This window comes from Homo sapiens, chromosome 8, assembly GCF_000001405.40.
Source record: "Homo sapiens chromosome 8, GRCh38.p14 Primary Assembly".
Classification (NCBI taxonomy): domain Eukaryota; kingdom Metazoa; phylum Chordata; class Mammalia; order Primates; family Hominidae; genus Homo; species Homo sapiens.
Genome location: NC_000008.11, coordinates 114929216 through 114951378, shown reverse-complemented (window position 1 = coordinate 114951378; position 22163 = coordinate 114929216). Strand labels below are relative to the sequence as shown.

The 22163-nt window shown below is 33.7% G+C and overlaps 1 long non-coding RNA gene across 1 annotated transcript in view; it reads left to right on the top strand.

Annotated features, from left to right (window-relative positions):
• LOC107986901 (uncharacterized) overlaps positions 1-15765 on the top strand; it is a 34966-nt gene extending 19201 nt beyond the window's left edge. Inside the window, exon 3 of the long non-coding RNA XR_001745735.2 lies at positions 15532-15765. This is a non-coding gene — a long non-coding RNA (uncharacterized LOC107986901). The remainder of the gene's footprint in view (positions 1-15531) is intronic.
• The last annotated feature ends 6398 nt before the right edge of the window (positions 15766-22163 follow it).

Sequence of the window (22163 nt, the reverse complement as noted above, 5' to 3'; positions counted from 1 at the left end):
ATCAGCACTCTGTGTCTAGCTAAAGGTTTGTAAATGCACCAATCAGCACTCTGTAAAAATGCACCAGTCAGCACTCTGTGTCTAGCTTAAGGTTTGTAAATGCACCAATCAGCACTCTGTAAAAAATGGACCAATCAGCACTCTGTAAAATGGCCCAATCAGCAGGACGTGGGTGGGGCCAAATAAGGGAATAAAAGCTGGCCACGCGAGCAAGCAGCGGCAACTTGCTCCTGTCTCTTTCCATGCTGTGGAAACTTTCTTCTTTCACTCATCACGGTATTGCTGCTACTCACTATCTGGGTCCACACTACCTTTATGAGCTGTAACACTCATTGCGAGGGTCTGCAGCTTCATTCCTGAAGTCAGTGAGACCACAAACCCACTGGGAGGAACAAACAATTCCAGAGACACCACCTTTAAGAGCTGTAACACTCACTGCAAAGGTCTGTGGCTTCACTCCTGAAGTCAGTGAGACCATGAACCCACCACAAGGAAGAAACTCCAGACACATCTGAACATCTGAAGGAACAAACTCTGGACACACCATCTTTAAGAACTGTAACACTCACCACGAGGGTCTGCGGCTTCATTCTTGAAGTCAGCAAGACCAAGAAGGAACCAATTCCGGGCACAGTTTTATTCTGAGGCCTCGCTCGCTGGTTTTCAGATGGCTGCTTTCCTGCTGTATCTTCACAGGGTTGTTCCTGGTCAGTGTGTTGTCTGGGTCCTAATCTCCTCTTCTTATAAGGACAACAGTCATACTTTATTATTGCTTACCCATATTATCTCACTTTACTTTACCTCTTTAAAGATCTTGTCTACAAATACAGTCACATTCTGAAGTATGGGAAGTTAATACTTCAATGTATAAATTTTGATGGAACACAATTTGGCCTATAACAATGTCCTTGGTTCCTTAATCTGTAAAGTAGAGCTACAAATATGATAACTAACAGAGTTGCTTCCAGATTAAGTGAGATAATACATATAGAGGTTGAAAAGTGATTAATAAATGTTAGCTACTATTATTACTAAAAGGTAAAGCCTTACCCTCATCACATTTAACCTCAACTAAAACAATAAATTATCAACACCTAGACGCCATTCTTTCTACCTTTATATTTATCTTCCACACTGCTTGTATGATTATTTCATTTTGTTTAAAAGCTTTCAATGATTCCTGTTTGTATCATTCAGACACCTTAGAAAGATGTCCAAAACTCTCTAAACCGACAATTACACTTTTTCAACTGAATCTTTTACCAGTCCCTGATTAACATTTCGCTTTGCAGTATAAATTTTCTGTTTATAGTTACTTATAAAATATGACATTTAATGCTTCTGAATTTTTATAAAGATTGCTCCCTCTATTTGAAACATAAAGACTATCTTTCTTCACTGATTTTTGCTTTTACTCATCCATCAAGTGTCAGTTCTGTAAACAAATCATTCAAAAAATATTTTTTCAAACTCTTAAATTGGGCTATTTGTCCAAATTTCATTCCATCTGTGCCATATCAGTAATATATTTGCTAGATTTTCTTGCAATTGTCTACCTGTGTGCCAAACATTTCTATTAGAATGCAAACTCCTTATACGCAGAGCTATATCTGATTCATTGGACAGTAATTATATTGGTTTCCATATGCTACTACATAGATTGGAATGTCTGAATAATAGAGTTAATCAGTTTGTAGAAGCTAAGTACTGAACATTGCATTGGGATACATTCTATAACTCTCAGTTCAAAAGTCTTTCAATGTAAATGGATATCTTGCATTCTGAAAAGTTTTAGTGTTAACACCTTTCCTCCTTTATGAAATAATGGTTATGATAGATAATAGTTTTGCTTGTATATAATTGTTAATATTGTTATTTGGCAAAATAAAATGGATCACCTGTTATATGTTTTCTATTCCACCCCCCAATTTTATTTTGAATTTTTACAAGGACGTGGAATTTAAAGGTCTATTCGATTGTAGCATACTCACCAAAAAAAAAAAAAAAAAAGGCTTTGGGGTCAGGGTACTTGTATCCTGGTTGTTTCTAGATTATGGCCTTTGGAAAAATGCCAGACTTAGTCTCAGCTTTTTCATTGCACAAAAAAGATGTATGCTCTTGCTGTATAGGGTTGTTGTGAGGATTAGATTTTGTGCTGAGCACTCAAAATGCTTAGCACAGTGCATCAAAACTTGATAAATAGTGATATTATTTCTGTCGCACTGAGTAATACCATTGATGTTAGTGATCTTTGAACTCAAGGTACTTAGTGCCTGGTTATCAATAAATGATGATTAAACTTAACTGTTTAGCATATCTTGTCAAATCAATCTCCTGAACACCACTACTATAGTTTATAGATCCTCATTGTTGACCACTTTGCACACTGCAAAGGCTGGTCCCTGGTTTTTATCATATACTACTGCCAAGTTCCCGTAATAAACTACCTTTTCTTATCTGCCACTGACTTTTCTTAGATGCCTTTTGTTTCCATTTTAAGAAATTATGATTCTTTCTCTCTTTCATCTGTCTTCATCATCATTATCTATTATATATTTCTATTTGTCTGTCTATATCTATCCAATTGAATTGATATTATTTTCTTTTGACCTATCTAGGATATATACTATTTATTTGACAGCGAGAAATGTCTTTAAGACAGAACTGAAATGTCATGTTTGCTATTATCTTTTGCTGACCACTCCCTACATCATACCTAGGAATAGTAACTGTTGTCTGTGTGTTTTGCAAGTTTGTACCAAGCTTCATTTAAGCACTTATATCTTTAAAAGTTAGCATTAATCTTTATCATCTTTGTTTACATATTGAGCTCTTCTAAGGTAATGGCTATAGGTTATTCATTGAAACATCTTCCAGCAACCAGGAAAAGGTCTAATACATAGTCAATGATTACTTAAAAAATGTCGAATAGAATATTTTAATCTTCTAGGCTTACGATTTTGGAACTTAATCTAGCTCACTTTCTAGCCCGTTATTTCTAATTATAGCAACTTCCGGTCTCTTCACTTTTAATTTTAAGAATTTATACCTGAAAATTAAAAATCTGCTAAACTGATATGATAACCTCTAAGGAAAAGTGCTGAGAAGGCATAATATCATCTATGTAGCATTGTTGCCAGCAGGGTGTAACTTTAATGATGAAGAAACAATTAAACAAATGAAAGTTACAGGATATTTTGCAAAGCCACTAAGATTTTTTTTTTTTAAATCAATACTATGAAGAACTACAACAATTATAAAATGAGGGTTGGGAGACTCTTGTGGTTTAAAGAAACACGTCAATTCAGTTTTGTAATCCTTGTTTGATTCTTGTTTCCAAAACCAGAAAAACAATTATAAAATAAATACGGGATACCTTGTGCTATTTGAATATGAAATTTATACTAGATAATTGAATTTTATAATATCAAATTTATTGAGAAGGTAATATATTTTTGCTATGTAGAGACTTTCCTCATTACTGAGATACACAAATTAAAATATTGAACAATAGTTTCAAGGTGTGTGCAGGCGAACCTAATGGTAGGACAAATATATACATATACACACGTATGCATATGTATACACACATATATATCTTTCTCTATATTTTTATATATATATACACACTATATATATATGGTAAAAAAGATAAAGCAATTGTACAAACATTTATCATGGCTGAAAATTAAATACGGATGTTTGTTATAATTTTTCAACTTTTTATATAATTGAAATTATTCAATATAAAAAGTTGCTGTTGCAGTGTCGGTTCTCCTGGAAGGAGACAGCATGACAGAGTTAGATTTACTAGGGAGCCATCAGACTGCAATGCAAGTCTGGAAAAGTCTCTCTGTCAGTTCCATAAGGAGCTCCACGGCAAAGAGCCAGTTAGAGAAGTCCAGCATTGGGTGTAAATGTTCCTTGTGCCACTGCTTTTCTCAGGCATTCATTAGTTATGGCCCTGCAGAGAAAAGCTTGACTAGACTCAAAAGTAGAACAAGACCTTATGTAATACAACAGCGCTCAACTAATCACAAAGACTCTCAACTATCAGACTCTCAACTAATCACAAAATTTACAGCTGTGCAGATCGCCTTTAAGAAATATCTGTGTGGTGGCTGGGTGCAGTGGGTCACGCCTTTAATCCCAGCACTTTGGGAGGCCGATGTGGGAGGATCACGAGATCAGGAGTTCAAGACCAGACTAGCTAATATGGAGAAACCTCGTCTCTACTAAAAATACAAAAAGTAGCCAGGAGTTGTGGTGTGTGATTGTAATCCCAGTTACTTGGGAAGCTGAGACAGCAGAATTGCTTGTACCAAGGAGGCAGAGGTTGCAGTGAGCCGAGATCACACCACTGCACTCCAGCCTGGATGACAGAGCAAGACTCTGTCTCAGAAAAAACAAAACAAAACAAAACAAACAAAAAAAGAATATCTGTGTGGTTCATCTTGTCTGCCACAATCAAGTTAGTAATAATAATATATTTGCATTCTTTTGCATAACAATTTGTAGTATAGTTCCTAAATTTAATTCTACATTTAAGTAAGTTGACTATTCACAGTTTTCTTATTCATGTGTTCCTTATGTCGATTTATTTCTTGGTTGACTGATATATGTTTATATTCATAGTTTTGAAAGATTACACATTTCCTGGCATCTTTAATTGTCCCGATATTGCTGTCACATGTGGAGACCACTTGACTGGTTGGATAATTCTTTGGTCACAGTAAATTTTTCCAAAAACAGTGTGCTCAATCTTCCTCAAACTTTTAAACAATTCCCTTTATAAGTTATCATTTCGTCTTTTGCCTATCTCCAACACTCTAAACAAGTGTTATTTATATAATAAAAAACATATAAAAGACTTACTGATTGAGAGATATTCCATGTTCATGGATAGGAATGCTTAGTAATATCAAAATGTCAGTAATTTCCAAAAATTGTTCTGTAGATTCAGTGCAATCCCAGTAAAAATCACAGCAAGTTATTTTGTGGAAATCAGCAAACTAACTCTAAAGTTTACATAAGAAAAGATAAAGGAAAAAAGAGAGAAAACCAAATTTCATGTTTGCATTAGTGCCTCTTTAATGCTATAGCTAGTTTCTAAATAAGAGTTTATCAATCTATTCAGTTTTAACTAGTTTGACCATAAGGTAAGATTTTCATAAACTTTTTAGAACCCTTTACAATTTTCTGTTAACAGCAGATCAATTTTCTAAGAAAACTCCATTATTCTGACACATGGGCCCAGATTCTGGCCCTGCATTAATGTGCTTTTATTTTAATGTTCAACATATGGAAAAAAATTAAATAATCCCCTTCAAGTCTTAGCCAACTTACTCATACCCACAGAACTTTCTTCATAAGACCAACCCTTCACAAACCCTTTTCAACTTCCTTAAACCTTCAGTTTTGTCCCAATATTCTTTTAGGTTAAGACAATCTTTAAATCCCTCTAAACTAGACAAAATTATATTCTGCTTAACAGAAGCCACATTTCCATGCCGACTTATAATCTTTTACCAAAAACACATACTACTATCCTTACATACTTTGGATGTAAAACCATTTCTCCAGTAGTCTCAGTCACATGTTGCAATGTTAACCCTTAGCAACTTTTATTTTTGGTGAAAAGCCCGACAAGTAAGAGATTTTAATTACGTACTATGTGTGGGGCCTAGGAAGCCAAATGGAAGTGAAGATAAGATCTGACTCTTTCTAGTATAGCTAGGAGGCATGGCTAACTTCACATGTCCCCAGCCCTTATCTAGAATCTAATGCTCCAAAGTAAGTAAATTGAACAATTTTCAAAAGTCAAGGAAGCAGTTTACAACCTTAAAGCATTTAGCAAATCTAATATCTGACCTTTAGACCAAATGTCTACATTTTGAAGACATTTTTATTTTACCAATAATCTTTAAAACTGTCTTTATTTCCAAAAGATTACTAAAGTCACGTGAATAAAAAAGCATTAAAGTTTCTATTTTTCTAACAACAACAACAAAAAAGAATGATACAATGAACTTTGGGGACTTGGGGGAAAGTGTGGGAGGCGGGTGAGGGATGAAATACCACAAATGATGTACAGTGGATACTGCTCAGGTGATAGGTGAACTAAAATTCTCACCAATTACCATTAACGAACTTATTCATGTAACCAAACACCACCTGTTCTCCAAAATCTTAGGGAAATTAAAAAAAAAGTTACTCTAAAAAGCATAGTTTACATAGAGAGGCAAGATACAACATAGCCAACACAATATTGAAGAATAGCAGTTAGAGGATTGATGCTACCTGATTTCAACAATTATTATAGAGCTCCAGTAATTAAGACAATGTAACATTGGCAAAAGAATAAACGAATGATGAACAGGATAGAATAGAAAGCCTAGAAATAAACATACATACATAAAATCAACTGATATTTGACAAAAGCTAAAGGCAATAATATACAGCGAAAATAGTTTTTTAGACAAAAGTTGAGTCTAGTTGCTAGAACAACTTGATATCCACAAATAAAAACAGTCAGTCTGGACCTTGACCTCATACCCTTCACAAAAATTAACTAAAAATGAATCACAGACCTAAATTTAAAATGCAAAACTACAAAAGTTTTAGATGATAACAGGAGAAAAACTAAATGACCCTAGGTATGTCAATGACTTTTTAGACAACAACAAAGACACAATCCATGATAGAAAGAATTGATTAGCAAGGCTTCATAAAAATCAAAAATGTTTGCTATGTCTGTGCAAGATTGTAAAGAAAATGAGAGGAAGAAAAAATATGGATTGGAAGAAAATCTTCACAAAATACCTATATGATAAAGGACTGTTATTTTAAATATACAAATGACTTTCAAAACTCAAAACACTATTTAAAAATTGGCAAAAGAACTTAGCAGATACCTCAACAAAGAAGATATATGATGGGTAGTAAACATATGAAAAGATGCTCTACATCATATTTTATTAGGGGAATTCCAAGTAACAATGAAATACTTCATGTCTGTTAAAATGTCCAAAATCCAGAACTCTGAGATCATAAATTCTTAGCAACAAGAATTCTTAGTCATTACTGGTGAGATTGCAAAATGGCGCAGTCAGTTTGGAAGACAATTTGGTGGTTTCTTACAAAACTAAACTCAGTCTTACCATATGCTCCAGCAGTCATGCTCTTTGGTATTTAGTCTGATGAGTTGCTAACTTATGTCCACACAAAAACCCGCACATGGATGTCTATGTAGCCTTTTCATAATTGCCAAAATGGGAAGTAACCAAGATGTCCTTCAGCAGGTGAATGAATAAATATATCCATTCAGACAATGGAATATCATTCAGCACTATGAAAATGGGTTATGAAGCCATGAAAAGACACGAAAATAACTTAAATGCATATTACTAAGAAGGAAGTGTGGACAGGCTACATACTGGATGATTCCAAGTACTTGGTATCCTGAAAAAGACAGAACTATGGAGACAGTAAAAAGATCAGTAGTTACCAGAAATTTATAGGGAGAGAGGGATGAATATATGGAGCACAGAGGATTTCAGGGCAATGAAACTATTCTATATGACACTATTATGGTGAGTACTGGTCAGTACGCATTTGTTAAAACCCATAGAGTATACAACGCTAAGACTAAACCCTAACGTGTACAATGGATTTGGGTAGTAACATGTTTATGTATGTCCATCAGTTGCAATAAATGTACCGCTCTGGTGCAGAATATTCATAGGAGAGGAGGCCATGGGGAGCAGGTGAGGGGGTATGTGGGAATTTTCTGTGCTTTCTATTCTGTTTTCCTGTGAACCTGAAACTTGCCTTAAAAATAAAAGCTATTTAAAGGAGAAAAAAAAAATCTAAACCACTTGTGTTTTATTTTTTTCCTTGCTTTGTGTGATTTTATTATTTATTTATTTATCCAACTTTATTTTTGGTTCAGGGGGTGCTTGCGCAAGTTTGTTACGTGGGAAACTTGCTCATTGTGGGAGTTTGGTGTATAGATTATTTTGTTACCCAGGTAATGAGAATAGAACTCAATAGGAATTTTTTTTTTTTTGTACCCTTGCAGTCCTCCCACCCCCACGCCTCAAGGAGCCTCAAGTGTCTATTTTTTCCTTCTTTGTGTCCAAATTTACTCAGTGTTTAGCTCCCACTTATAAGAGCGAACACGCAGTATTTGGTTTTCCATTTCAGTGTTAATTTGTTTAGGATAATGGCCTCCAGCGAAACTATTTTTTATAACATCATTGGATATTAAAAGTTATTTTTAGGCCGGGCGCGGTGGCTCATGCCTGTAATCCCAGAACTTTGGGAGGCCGAGGCGGGCGGATCACGAGGTCAGGAGATCGAGACCATCCTGGCTAACAAGGTGAAACTCCGTCTCTAATAAAAAATACAGAAAATTAGCGGGGCATGGTGGTGGGCGCCTGTAGTCCCAGCTACTCGGGAGGCTGAGGCAGGAGAATGGCGTGACCCCTGGAGGCGGAGCTTGCAGTGAGAAGAGATCGCACCACTGCACTCCAGCCTGGGCGACAGACTGACACTCCGTCTCAAAATAAAATAAAATAAAATAAAATAAAATTATTTTTAATCTTTGCTAATCTGACAAGTGAATCCTATTTTACCTACACTTTAAGATTTTAACAAATAGATTTGTCATTTGGATTTCTTCACTTGTTAACTTCCTATATATTTCTATTCTTTTTTTCTAATAATCTATAAAGACTCTTTATATAATAAAGATAGATTCCTTTGTTATGTGCAATATTAATCTTGTTTATTATCTTTTAACTGTGCTCATGGTATATTTTGTCAGAAGTTTTAATACATTGTCAAGTCTATCTTTTAGTTTCATATCAAGATTATACAAATATTCTCTTGTATCTGTTTTCAACATTTTTGTAGTTTCAATCTATTTGGAATTTCATGTTTTTCTTTCATGTGATATAGGTGTTTCATGTTGTGTATCTAGTTTTATATTTTTTCTAAATAGATGTGGTATTTATTGAATAAACTTTTCCATAAACTTAAAATATCTTGTCAAATTGTTTATAAAGTGACCTTTTTTGAATTAAAAAGTAGACATATTAAATATTTCTCAGACCTAAAGTGCCCTTCCGAATACATTTCTATTATATGGTTCTTTTATTTTATTATTTTATTATTATTTTTTTCTCCCATAATGCTTGTGAAATTCTTCAACATTAAAAATTTTAATGTAAAATAGACAAATGTTTACTACTTTTTAAACGTTGTCTGTATTGAGAAATACAATATAGTGGTAACATACATTAATGCAGTAAGAAATGATATTAACAGATATATTATATATATTAAACATATAACACAACTAAAAAATACTAACATATCTAGAAAAGGACAGAATTCAGTAGCAGAGAAATGATTTTTCAAAAAATTATTTAAATGATTAATTAAAAATTACACATCTTTACTTTTGAAAATCAGAACCAAAATTTACAGGATATTGCATTTGGACCAGAATTTAAATCTAAGTCCTAATTGACTTCATTGAGTACCCTAGCTTTTCTGAGAGTGTTTTCTTATCTATAGAATGGTAAAGTTAACATCACCCCATTACAATGTTTGGAAATAAAACAAGTAATGCTTCAAGAATTTTTAAGCTGTAAAATTTGTAAACATATACCACAGTATAGCATAACTACTATTATTTTGATGTAAAAATGATTATCTTTAGTTGTCAGAGCTTAGAATTATGATTATTTGCCTAGCTATTTCAATTTCTCAGTGTTGCAAGACTAAGAATATGCTATGTCATATTTCTGTAGTAGGAGCTGTGGCCAGCATTTTTCTCTTGAAATGTGTGCAAACCAATAATACATGCCTCTCTCAAAGCTTGGGAGGATTAGGGACTGCTGTTCCAGATATGCAAATGCTCAAGGGCACGTTTCTGAATAGATACTGTACTGCCTTAAAGATAAACAAAAAGAAATGTGAATGTAGGAGCTTGGATTTTATTCAATGTGTCCCGCCATTTCAGCAGCATGGGGTGTACACTGAACTTGATGTGGTGGCAGTTAGCGGTAGCAACTCATGAATGTAGACAGATTTATGCAGGGTGACCTTCATGACTCAATGTGCTTGGGAGCTTTGTGATTTCCACAGGGGTTACTAATGGGACATTCCATTGACAAGCACAATGAGTGTTCTACCTCCCTGGCATTTTTAGAGCACTTCTTTATGCATCAGAAAATCCCAGACTTTCAAGGGCTGCTTTCTAAAGAGACACGCTACTCTATGAATTTTGCAGAAGATAAAGTTCATCTGCATACTTGTCAGTTAGCTAGCCACTATCTCAGAGTCTCTTTTATTTTTAAGCATTTTTGCTACTTCACAGCCATGATGAAAATCCAAATTTAAATTTCTGTTTTAAAAATAATTAAATCCATTTTAGGATTAAAATGAATAGGGCCTCATATGTTAACTGTTTGTAGGAGGTTTTAAAAAAAATTGATCCCAGAATCAAAGGGCATTGAGGCAATGCAGATATGACAAACCATATCCAAATGACTTCATTTTCCTATGGAAAGTGTTGCTATTTAAGTAGATCAGTGAAGTGCAAGGGCAGTAGGCTGCTGTATCTAGATTTCAACCAGACATTTTTTAAACCCAGTATTAATTCCACTTTAGAAAACTTGGAATGATTCTGGTGTCCTAAAAGCAAGCTATTATTGAATGGATTTTAGTTGCAAAGCAAGTTTCCAAAGATGTGCACCAATATCCACTCTGTTCTTTTCATACTTCTGTTGGTTTATTGAATGGTATTACAAAAAGATCTTTAGCAAACTTATGGAAGGGGAAAATATGTTCAATTACAAACATGGTCAAAAAGACTTTTATATGCTAAAACAGTGAACTAAAGCTAAAATGATAATGTGTAGCATGGAGAAATAGTTCTGATTTCTGGTGAAACTGGAAATATTTAGCTTGGGAAACAGAATAATTCAGAAGTAAATGAGATGAGAGCTAATTACAAAATAGTCAACGGTCTGTACTGTAGAAGAAAGAAGTATCAGAGACACCAGACATATAAGTGGAATCAATGATGTAGTGTGTATAGACACTAATTTGGACTGTATGTAAACATTGAAATATAACTTTCCAAAAAAAAAAAAAAAAAAGGAGGTTTCTTCAAGAAGTGTGAGAATGTGCCTATTATTGGTGATATCCTAAGAGATGCGGAAGACATTTGAATTATCTGTGTCTAAGAAATTAGAATGAAAGGCCTTTGAGCTATGCCCTAGGTCTGAAAGTCAATGTTTTTTTAACAATTGAGATCGGCTAATTTTGAAATAGTTAAAAGAGGGTCGCATTCTACTTTAATGCCTTTCTTCTCCTTTTTTTTAAATTAATTATTGTTATTATTATTTTGAGACGGAGTCGCCGGTCTATCACCCAGGCTGGAGTGCAGTGGCGTGATCTCGGCTCTCTGCAACCTCCGCCTCCCGGGTTCACGCTTCTCCTGCCTCAGCCTCCCGAGTAGCTGGGACTACAGGCACCCGCCATCACGCCCGGCTAATTTTTTTTTTTTTTTTTTGTATTTTTAGTAGAGACGGGGTTTCACTGTGTTAGCCAGGATGGTCTCGATCTCCTGACCTTGTGATCCACCCGCCCCGGCCTCCCAAAGTGCTGGGATTACGGGCGTGAGCCACCACGCCCAACCTCTTTTCCTTTTAAAGTCCAATATTAGTACGTCAAAATGTATTTTACTTTAAAAATAATATAGAATCATTGTGCTATTAATTCTTCTCACCAAAGCACTGGAAATAGTATCCTAAGATATCACATTCAAGATTTTACTGCTTAAAAAATCAAGAACACAATTTATTATTTTCATACAATCAACACTTCTTCCTTCACCATTGAACGTAAAGTAAAATAAAAAACAGACAATTACCAAAAGAGGAACTAAGCTTATTTTCAATATATTTTTCCTGATTCCAATTGCAGTAATCATGTTTTTCAAACAAGCCTTAGTGCTACATGTTTCTATAGCATACCAATCTTTACTATTCATAGCACTCCACCTTGAAATTTTGACCAATGTCTGTCTTCTTTTCTACATAGTAAGTGGCAGAGGAAAATGCATATATCCATATTAAAAAATATTCCTCAGCATCTGGCAAGGTATCCTTCCATTTTTTTGCTACATAAATAAATAGATAAATAAACACATTCTTTTATACGTGAATTTTGTTGTTCACATCTCTTCTCATCCTACAATTTGTACAGAATTCCACTACGTCTTACTGAATTGAATAAATGCTATATTTGTCTGTACGTTTAAAATATTCACAAAATTCTCTGAAGGTGTGACTTTAAATCATAAGAGTTCCTTTAATCCTTCAAATTACCTTTTAATGGCATGGAATGTGTTTGCTTCCATTAATTCTTCATATTCATGAATTCTTTTAAATAGTTTTTAACTTTTAAAAGTATGTTTATTTTTCTTTGATCTGAACTCTCTGCACTTGGTATAACATTCTTCTTGCTCTTAACATGTGATAATATACACTTTTGCAAGCTTTTCACATAAATCACTTTATTGATCTGATATATGAATTCATATTCATCTCAATTTAATTTCTCTTATGATACTGTTATGTTTTAAGTCTATAGAGGAACTGAACTAATTTTTTTACCCTTCAAAATAAGAAATACCTTTGACTCAATATTTTTAATGATTTCCATGGAAAATTATGTGTATTGCAAAATACTTTCTACAAACTTATGACAATTGAATGCATTATTTTTTACATAGTGGATTTGAGATAACCATGTAATAGCAGAATCCTAGGATGGACCACAAGATTTACTGACTCATTGTAAACACGCTCTGCATAATTCTCAAGATTTTTGAATATAGTGAATTTCAATCCCATGATTAGAATATTTTGTAGATCAAAAGGGATTTTGCAGACATAACTGAGGTCTTGAATTAGTTGACCTAATGATAGAGAGCAATTATTTAAGTGGGTCTGACCTAATCACATAAGTTTTATAAAAGCACTATTTTCTGCAGGCAGGTAGCAGAAGACAGTCATAAATATGCTGCAGGTTGCCTGGGAGAAAGCAATCACTCATGTTGTGAATTGTCTATGGTTGCTACATGGTAAAGAACTGCAGGCAGCATCTAGGAGCTGAGAGCTGATCCCAGCCAACGGCTAGAAAGATAATGGGGACTTCAGTCCTGGAGTTGCAAGAAAAGAAATTCCGCCCCAAACAAGTAAACCTGGAAGAGAATCCTGAGCCAAGATGAGAACCACAGCTCCAGCCAATGTCTTGCTTTCAGTACATTGAAACCCTGAGTAAAGAATCCAGCCATAACATGCCCCTATTTATGACCTATAGAACTTGTGAGATAATAAACTTGTGTTGGTTTAAGCTACTTCATTTGGGGTACTTTGTTACAGAGCAATAAAAAACTTATATGCTCACTCAGCAAATTTGTCATTTGAAGTTTTCATTAGAATTGAGAGTCAAAGAAAATCTTTCCAAAGGTTCTCCTGGAGGAAATGCCAAGGAATGTGCAAGTTTCAGGCTCAGCGGAAATCATGCAATACAATCTAGTTTATGAAGCTGACAGTCAGACAAATTAAATGTTTTTCCCTAAATCATTTGTAGGCATAATCAGGACTGGAACCAAGGTCCCATGGGTCCAAATCAATGCTCTTTCCACAGTAAACAGCCAATATATTTATTAATGATTGGAAAAGAAAAAAGTGATGCTAGTGGAAATTTTGTGTATATTATTTTTAATCGTTAATATATTTATAAAATAATTTATAGCTGCCTTCCCTCCCTTTCCTCCCTTCCCTCCTTCCCTCCTTCCTTTCTTCCTTCCTTTCTTCCTTTCTTCCTTCCTTCCTTTTTGTTATTTAGGATCTAGTCAAGGTTTACACATTGCATTTGACTGTGATATTTCTTTATTACCTTTTAATTTTTAACAGGACTTTTACTTCTTTAATTTCTTTCTATTACATTGACATTTTGAAGACTCTGGGAGTGTTGTCTTATATCTTATGCTCTGGATATAATTATTTATATTTCCTTTACATTTTCTTCTGTTGTCCGAATATTTTTTTATGAATATAAGTAAGTATATAGGTTGTATTAGATTTAGCTAAACATTGGCAAGAACACTTTACATGATGTATGAACTTCACAGAGCATTGGACCAGGGGACCCACGCTGTGAAGACATCCCCCATTAAAGAAACTAACTTTAATTAAGGTGATAAATGCCACTCTTCCCCCATTGTAAAGACACCTTTTTCTTCTGTAATTAGTGAATGATCTGTGGGTTGACACTCTGGCCTCATTTGGCTGCCCTATTACACATCACCAGTTTACCCAAAGCTTCTAGCTAGCATCCACTGATGAGCTTTCTGAGTCAATTATTTTGAAGGGCTTGTATTAGTTGTCTACCACTGCTATTTAAAACTCCCACATATCTAGCAGCCTAAAACAACACAACTTTATTACCTTACAGTTAGAATTCTGAAGGTCAGAATTCTGATGCAGGTCTCACTAGGTTACAATCTACTGGCTAGCAGGGCTTCATTCATTTCTAAAGGCACTATGGGAAAATCTGTATTTTTGTCTCTTTCCAATTTCTAAAGGCTACTCACAAGAATTGGCTGGTGACCCCTTGCTCCATCTTCAAGGGCAGTGACATCAGGTTAAGTCCTTTTCATCTTGTGTCTTTTTAACTCTCCTCCCATAGTCACATCTTCCTCTGACTGCAGCTGGTAAAGGCTCTCTGCTTTTAAAGATCAATATGAATAGATTGGACCTACCTACACAATCCAGTAAAATCTCCCCATCTCAGGGTCACATTTTAATTATATCTACAAAGTCTCTTTTGTCATGTAAAGTGACACATTCATAGGCTCCTGAGTTTAGGACTTAGGTATCTTTGGAAGACAATTATTTTGCTCTCCACAGGAATTACAAAATGCCAATTTAAAAAAATCTGTCATTTCTTCTTTGTGTATTATCTGGCATTTTCTGCACAGAAACACCACCCTCTCATTTTCTGTCTATGGATTCAAACATTATTTATAACCAAATAATCTTTGGGGTTTTTTTTTAGTTTTCAATTCTTTAGTTTTCCGTTTTGATTCTCAAATTGTCTTAAATTAGGGAATTTTGTTCGGTGAATTTAGATAATGTTATGGAATTATTGTAATTTTCTTAGATGTGATCATAGCATTGTGTTTATGCGGTGATGCGTGCTAAATTGTTTAGGGTAACGCCATGATAACTGCAACTTGCTGAGAACAAGCAAATCATGGCAGATTTTTACACTGTTTATTCTAAATGGAAGATATATCTCACTTTATTATTCTTTCAAACATTATGTATGCTTGAAAATTTTCAAACAAATGAGGAAATTACTATATCAAAGATATATTGTTATAATGTCAAAAAACTCATATTATAAAAAAGCTTAATTTTTTTCTCCTTATTTTATTTCCAGATAACTCACATCTTGAAGAAAATACAACCTCTTGTCTGGCTCACCATATTGAAAGAAAGGAGAAAGTCCGATTCTCCCACCAAGAGCTCTTCTTTCTGCTCATATCTCATTTTAGAACCTACGATGTCAGAATTCTCCAAAACACTGGAATAGCTTTCAGTGTCAGAAACTGAACTTCTGCACTTGGTTATATTGAAAACATAAGATTCTTAAGATTAAAAAAGAGAATAGGGTCACATGAGAGATGTATCATAGCATGCAAATGTTAAGTATGCCAAAAAGTCAACTTAATTGAAGGGCGTTGCTGGATGGAAGCAAATACCATAGCGAATCTTGCAAAAGAAGCATTATGTTTATGGTAGAGCTATGATTTATGTCCTATGAATATCCTCAAAGCCCCAGAATGAGACAAGAATTCTTCATTTGTTGCTTTATAATTTTCAAAGTTATGCCAATGATCTGACATTCACAATCCTGAGAAGTAGGTAAGAACAGTTACTTATTCCTTTAATAAATATTTGCTGAACTCTTGTACAATGTGCCAGGTATAGTGCTAGTTAAAAATTTCATATGTGCATTTAGCACTTAGTATATTCTGGCTATTAAACATTTGTGAGTATGAACTCACTCAGCACTCATAATTACCAAATGCGGTGAATTGTTCACATTTTGCAGAATGAGGGTCCAAACACACTAAATCAGATGTTGGAAGTCACACTACCATCTACTAGTGCCAAGGGTTCTTAATCAGGGGTCCATAGAGCCCTATCATTGGGTTTCAAATTTCCCAGGAGAAAAAGCCCATAGTTTATATCAGTGTGTCAAAAGTAACATATAACTTTAAAAAGTTCCACTGTTGTGTTAGGATTAGGGATTCATTGCTGATCAGGATCTGTAAGAGTAGTCCCAGCTCTCCTGACCCTCAGAGTTTATCAGCCAGAATAACTAGGCAGGCTCTTCTGTGCCTAATGAAAGGCTTTTCTCATCATACCCTTTTATCTGTTCAATAAATATAGATGTGCTGCATGATTTTTAAAAAATGTTTACATACCATTTGATTATATATGTTATTTATATCATTAACTGAAAATATGAAACATATTGTTAGTCTCTAGTGTGGATATTTAGTTGTTTTCTTCCTAATTTTTGCTACCTGCATGAAATAATTTTTGAATTTCTCATATATGACTTTTGCTAAAAATTTCCATTTGTGTATCATTTTATTGATTATAACAATTTTAAAAATATTTCTCTATAGTTTATTTCTGTTTATCTCTGAACTTTGCTTATAATACATATATTTTAATTTATAAGGCATTGTTTTCTGTCTCTATTTTTATAATTATATTTAGTTTTATTATAATGAAGTAAATATATTTTGTACTATATGTCATTTTTTGGAATTAATTTTTTTCTATCTTTATAGAATGTGTGTATGTATGTGCCTGAAATATACATATATGCCATAGACATTTATAGATATTTATATGTATATACCATACATATACATACACTAACACACATACGTATTTCTTATTTTAAAATATACATTTTTTTCAACTTGCTTAGTTAGAAATTTTAGTCTACAAATTCTGCTCATATTCCTTATATTGCTAGGATTTTTTCTCCATACATTTCAATGCCATGTTTATTAGGAAAAGTTACATATTTGTTGTGCATAGAATCTTTTATTACACTAAAGTCTTTTTCTTGGTTTGAGTTATTGCAAAATGCTTGGATTTTAACTCCTTCATATAAATATTATGACCCTTGTTTCTTTCGGTTTGTTTTTATTTGGTAAATTGTTGTGTATCCTTTTACACTTATTTTTCAGAGTCCGTTTCTTTCAGGCAAGATTGTCTTGTAGATGGCACATTGTTGTTTTTTATTTCTAGTTGTATTATCACAGTGTCTAAAATTTTTCTTTCGGAGCTTATCAAATCTTCATTTATTATTGTAAGAGATAAACTTGGTCTTTTGTCTTCTTATATCATGCTTATTTTGCTATTTCCTTTGCTTTTGTATTTTTGTAATATGGTGTGTGGTTTTTTGCCTACCCTCCACCTGAGAAAACTCATGTGTATTGTGATTTTTAGTGCCTTACCAAACCTAAAAACTGAAAATTGCATGTTTAAACCTGTGTTTATTAGTTTATCAAATTTAGCATTATTGACTCTAGTCATGAAAAATGGGGAACATAGCACACTTACACCTTACCAATCAAATGTTTTTGTTCTTGAGCTTCTTTATGGCATATTTTTAGTGGCCATTTTCTTAGTTTACCACCTTCTCATTTGTATATATTATTTAATGTCTTTTCAACTTTTGCTAATTGTAATACACTTTATATTAAAACATTCTGCTGTGAATTAATTAGATATTATTTCCAATTAATTTTGGATTTAAATGTATTGAAACTTCACCCACAAGCCATTTTATGGCATGATTTTCCCATTTGGGGAATATTTATTCCTCATTTCCTTGTCGTTAATTGGATATAATGTATGCATATTTTAAAGATATAAACCAAACACTATGAATTTTTCCTTCTTGCATACTTTAGGATATGATTCTATTTTCTTCAAATTTAAAAGGCAATCTGGTTACATGTTTATTTTCTATCAGAACTCTAGATGTGCGTCATCACCTCAAGACTTACAATACTGATGTTAAAAAAGCCTACGATCATTCTATGAGCATGTGTGTGTATTTTCTTTAAGTTATTTGTTTCTTCTTCCTGAATACACTTGTTAAATTCTTTCTTTATTGTTGAGTTTCATTACATTTATTATAATATTGTCCTATGCTCAACATTCACTATTAGTTTTTTGTTTTTTGTTTTTTTTCTGAAGCAAGTTGATTCCTTTTTTCTACAGACCTAGTTTTTCTTACATTTCAGGGAAGTTTATTTCTTTAGAAATTTTAATCTAATTTCAGTCTTTTTTAACTTCTTAAAAAAAGTTATTATCCAGATATTGGAACTCACTTCTCTGTTATGGTTTCATGATCCTATCACCTCTCTTCTTATCTAGTAGAGTGTATATGTAAGGATCATTAGCGTAAAAACCAAAATACTGCTGCATAAATTTGGGAAACCACCCATCAAAATGCAAGATTTCTGATAAACAGTTGGTGGTGAATACAGTATTGAAGCTGGCCTAAGTCTTCCTAGCCCTCGTTCTTAAATTGGAAAGAACAAGTTAACACAAAGAAGGTTTTACTGTAAAGAGAACAGCAGGTGTGCCTTGCATGCACTTCCTACACACAGAAGGAAAACAGGGAGCAACATGGAACATGCTGAGGTTGTGTCCAGGAAGCAAAAGAAAAACTAGCAAGATGGCTGTCTTTGGAAAAGGTACTCCAACTCATTAATAAAACAGAGATTATTGTGCATAATCTGTTCACTAACAAGATCAGCCACACTTAACTTACGGTGGCACAATTAAGGAGCTACAAACAGGTGCCATAACATCGCCTGTGACACTACAACTAGAAAGCAAGAATGAAATTTACTCTTTGTAAATGTTGAAACAGAAAGAGGAGGGGAAGAGGAGCAAACACCATCATACTCACGTAATATTTATATGACAAATAAATTGAAAAATATTAAAATGTAATTTTCTATGCCTTTACTTTGAATTATGTGTAATTTTCTGAAAATATTGCCTATGTCTTGTTCCAACTTTGTATTAGGTAATTGGTACTTCATGCTGATTTTAGAGAAGTTGAAATTTGATACTGCTTTTTCACCTAAAATTATTTTTAAATTAACATGGATCAGATTTTATGTCATTCTATATTTTTTATTTTATATTATTAATTAATATTCAAAATTTGAAATTATAATAAAATTTACTGTGTCAACTATTATATATTTTCTTTTACAGTGACTGTGACTGTGTTTGTCATATACATGATTTTCTTTTACTTTCTTTCCATTATTTTCTCTACCAGTATTAATTTTTGCATTGGTATCATGCTGGTTTATCTTCTTTTTTTTTTTTTTCTTGAGACCGAGTCTCACTCTGTGGTCCAGGCTTGAGTGCAGTGGCGCAATCTCGGCTCACTGCAACCTCTGACTGATGGGTTCAAAAGATTCTCCTACCTCAGCCTCCCGAGTAGCTGGGACTACAGGCGCCCGCCACCACGCCCGCCTAATTTTTTGTATTTTCAGCAGAGATGGGGTTTCACTGTGTTAGCCAGGATGGTCTCGATCTCCTGACCTCGTGATCCACCTGCCTTAGCTTCCCAAAGTGCTGGGATTACAGGCATGAGCCACCATGCACGGCCTTTTTTTTTTTTTTTTAAGTGATAGAATTCCAAACAGAACTCACTCTCTGTATAAGATGATGTTAGTAATGTGAGCTGTTTTTTAAAAAACTATTATTTCTGTTTCCCAATTCCTCTTCTTTGTCTCCCTCTCTCAGAAGTGTCCTTTAGTCTTAACGGAATTAAATTTTAAGTATGATAATTGGTGGGTTGTATACATTGTTTAGCCATTTATTTGATTGAGGAGTACAGAAAAGAAGCTGAGACTGTTAGTGAATTTTATCATCAAGCAATTTCTCTTTACATTTATTGAATACTGTAACCAAATGGGCTTCTACCACTTTTCTCACTCCTGTGACTGGCAGAGAGTTGAACACCCAAATGAAAGTTCAGATCTCTACAGATATGTAAACATTTCTCTTTGCTGATGTTATTTTGGTCAGAAGTTACAGTGTACAGTTTCTTTTATACCAGGGTTTTCCTTGAGGGGAGAAAATCCACTGAAAAAATAATATTACTTGTCTAGGAAGTTTATATATTAAATATATCTTCCTTCAACTTGCTATTTTATTGTCATAGAATTAATTGTACAAGATGTTTTCCTTTTTTCTCCTGTAACTGGTTCAATCCACAGTCTCATCTCTCCAGCTAGGAGTTCTTAGTAGACCGCTTTATAACTCCCTTTCTTAACTACTATACCATTCATTCTTTCCAAATGAAGATATGTCTACCAATATCCAGAGTCTTTCAATTTGGTCCAAATTTTTTGTAGCTGACTGATACACTTCTGAGTTGACTCTATGAGGTTATGGCAGTTCTTAAGCATAGAGGTAGATTTTGTCTCTATTTTTATTCACTTCAGTAGGTTTTAGGCAGGAAAGCTAAGAAAATGTGAATTTATTTTGCCATCTTTCACTGAATTCTCTGTATTAAATTTTTATTTTTGTAAAGCATTAGAGAAATGTGCATGAACTGAACAAGTTGAATGTGACAGCAAAGTGCTCTTGATCTTGGCTAGATGCCAGAATGTCAGGCGCATTCATGTCTTCTCTAGCTGAAGGGAATGGCACCATGGGCCTGCACCTGTAAATTCTACACTACCACCTGCCTTGCAGCACAGTCACTTTTACCCTCTCTTGTTGAATGTAGTTAATTTAAGAAAGCCATTCCTTAAAGTGTGTTTTGTAATTTTAAAATGTCGTTCTTCATAGTTGAAAGGAAGTGTTTGGACTTAAAGTGCACAGGCTCTCAGAAATCAGAGGTTCAAATCTAGATGGGGTTAACTCATAAAGTAGATACAGTATCTTACATGCAGCTTATTTTGCAGGATTCTTAGCAACTAAAGTCAAGTCTTTACTTTGTTGACCTTTAAGATCCAAGATCAATTTTCCTAATAAAAGGTAGACCTTTGCTTTTCTAAAAAGTCACTGAAAACCTACACCAACCTGAGACACTGGATTATATGTCCTGGTCACCCTCAGAAGAATAAAGTTTATTTGTTGACATAAAAACACCAACGGCAATATTGCCTTCATTTCCCAGTGATAACAACCTTTAGAAATGGTAAGGTCATTACTGTTGCCCACCTTTTTGAGAATTTGAAATGTTTAAAGTCCTCACTGCACATATCACCACACTCAGGAAACTTAAAACAGCGTGATGTATGGAAGTAAATAGTAACAGTAATAGTAATCAACTAATGTGCATTTAATACTTACTTTGTGCCAGACATTGTATTTTAAATTGGGTTATATTATTTTGATTATAAAATAAACTTTAAAAATAGACATAATTATTATCTCCTTATTTCAGAGGGAGTAACTTGGACTTAGGAAAATAAATACCTTTGTTTAGATAGATTCATCTAATGTATAATATTAAGATTATAAATTAGTATATTATATTCAGGAATTTTGCTAAATGAGTAGATTATAGCTTATCTTGCCACGGGGGGAAAATTGATAACTATGTGAGATGATGGATATGTTAATTTGTTTTACCATAGTATTCATATTATTTTATATATATACACACACACACATACTATGTGTCTTATAACATTATGTTGTATACCTAAAATGTATACAATAAAATTTATTTTAAAAATTAATCGCATTTTAGGGACCTGTAGGAAAAAAACCCAAAAGATCAACATTCATATTATAGGTGTATTACAAGGAGAGGAGAAAGAAGATGGTGTTGAAATTAATAATATAAAAAATAATGGCTAAAACCTTTCCAAATTTAATGAAAGATACAAGATACGAATACATCTAATTAAGAAAACCACCAGCAGATAAACCCAAAGAAATTCAGGACAAGACATATTATTATACTGCTGAATACTAAAGACAAAGAAAAAA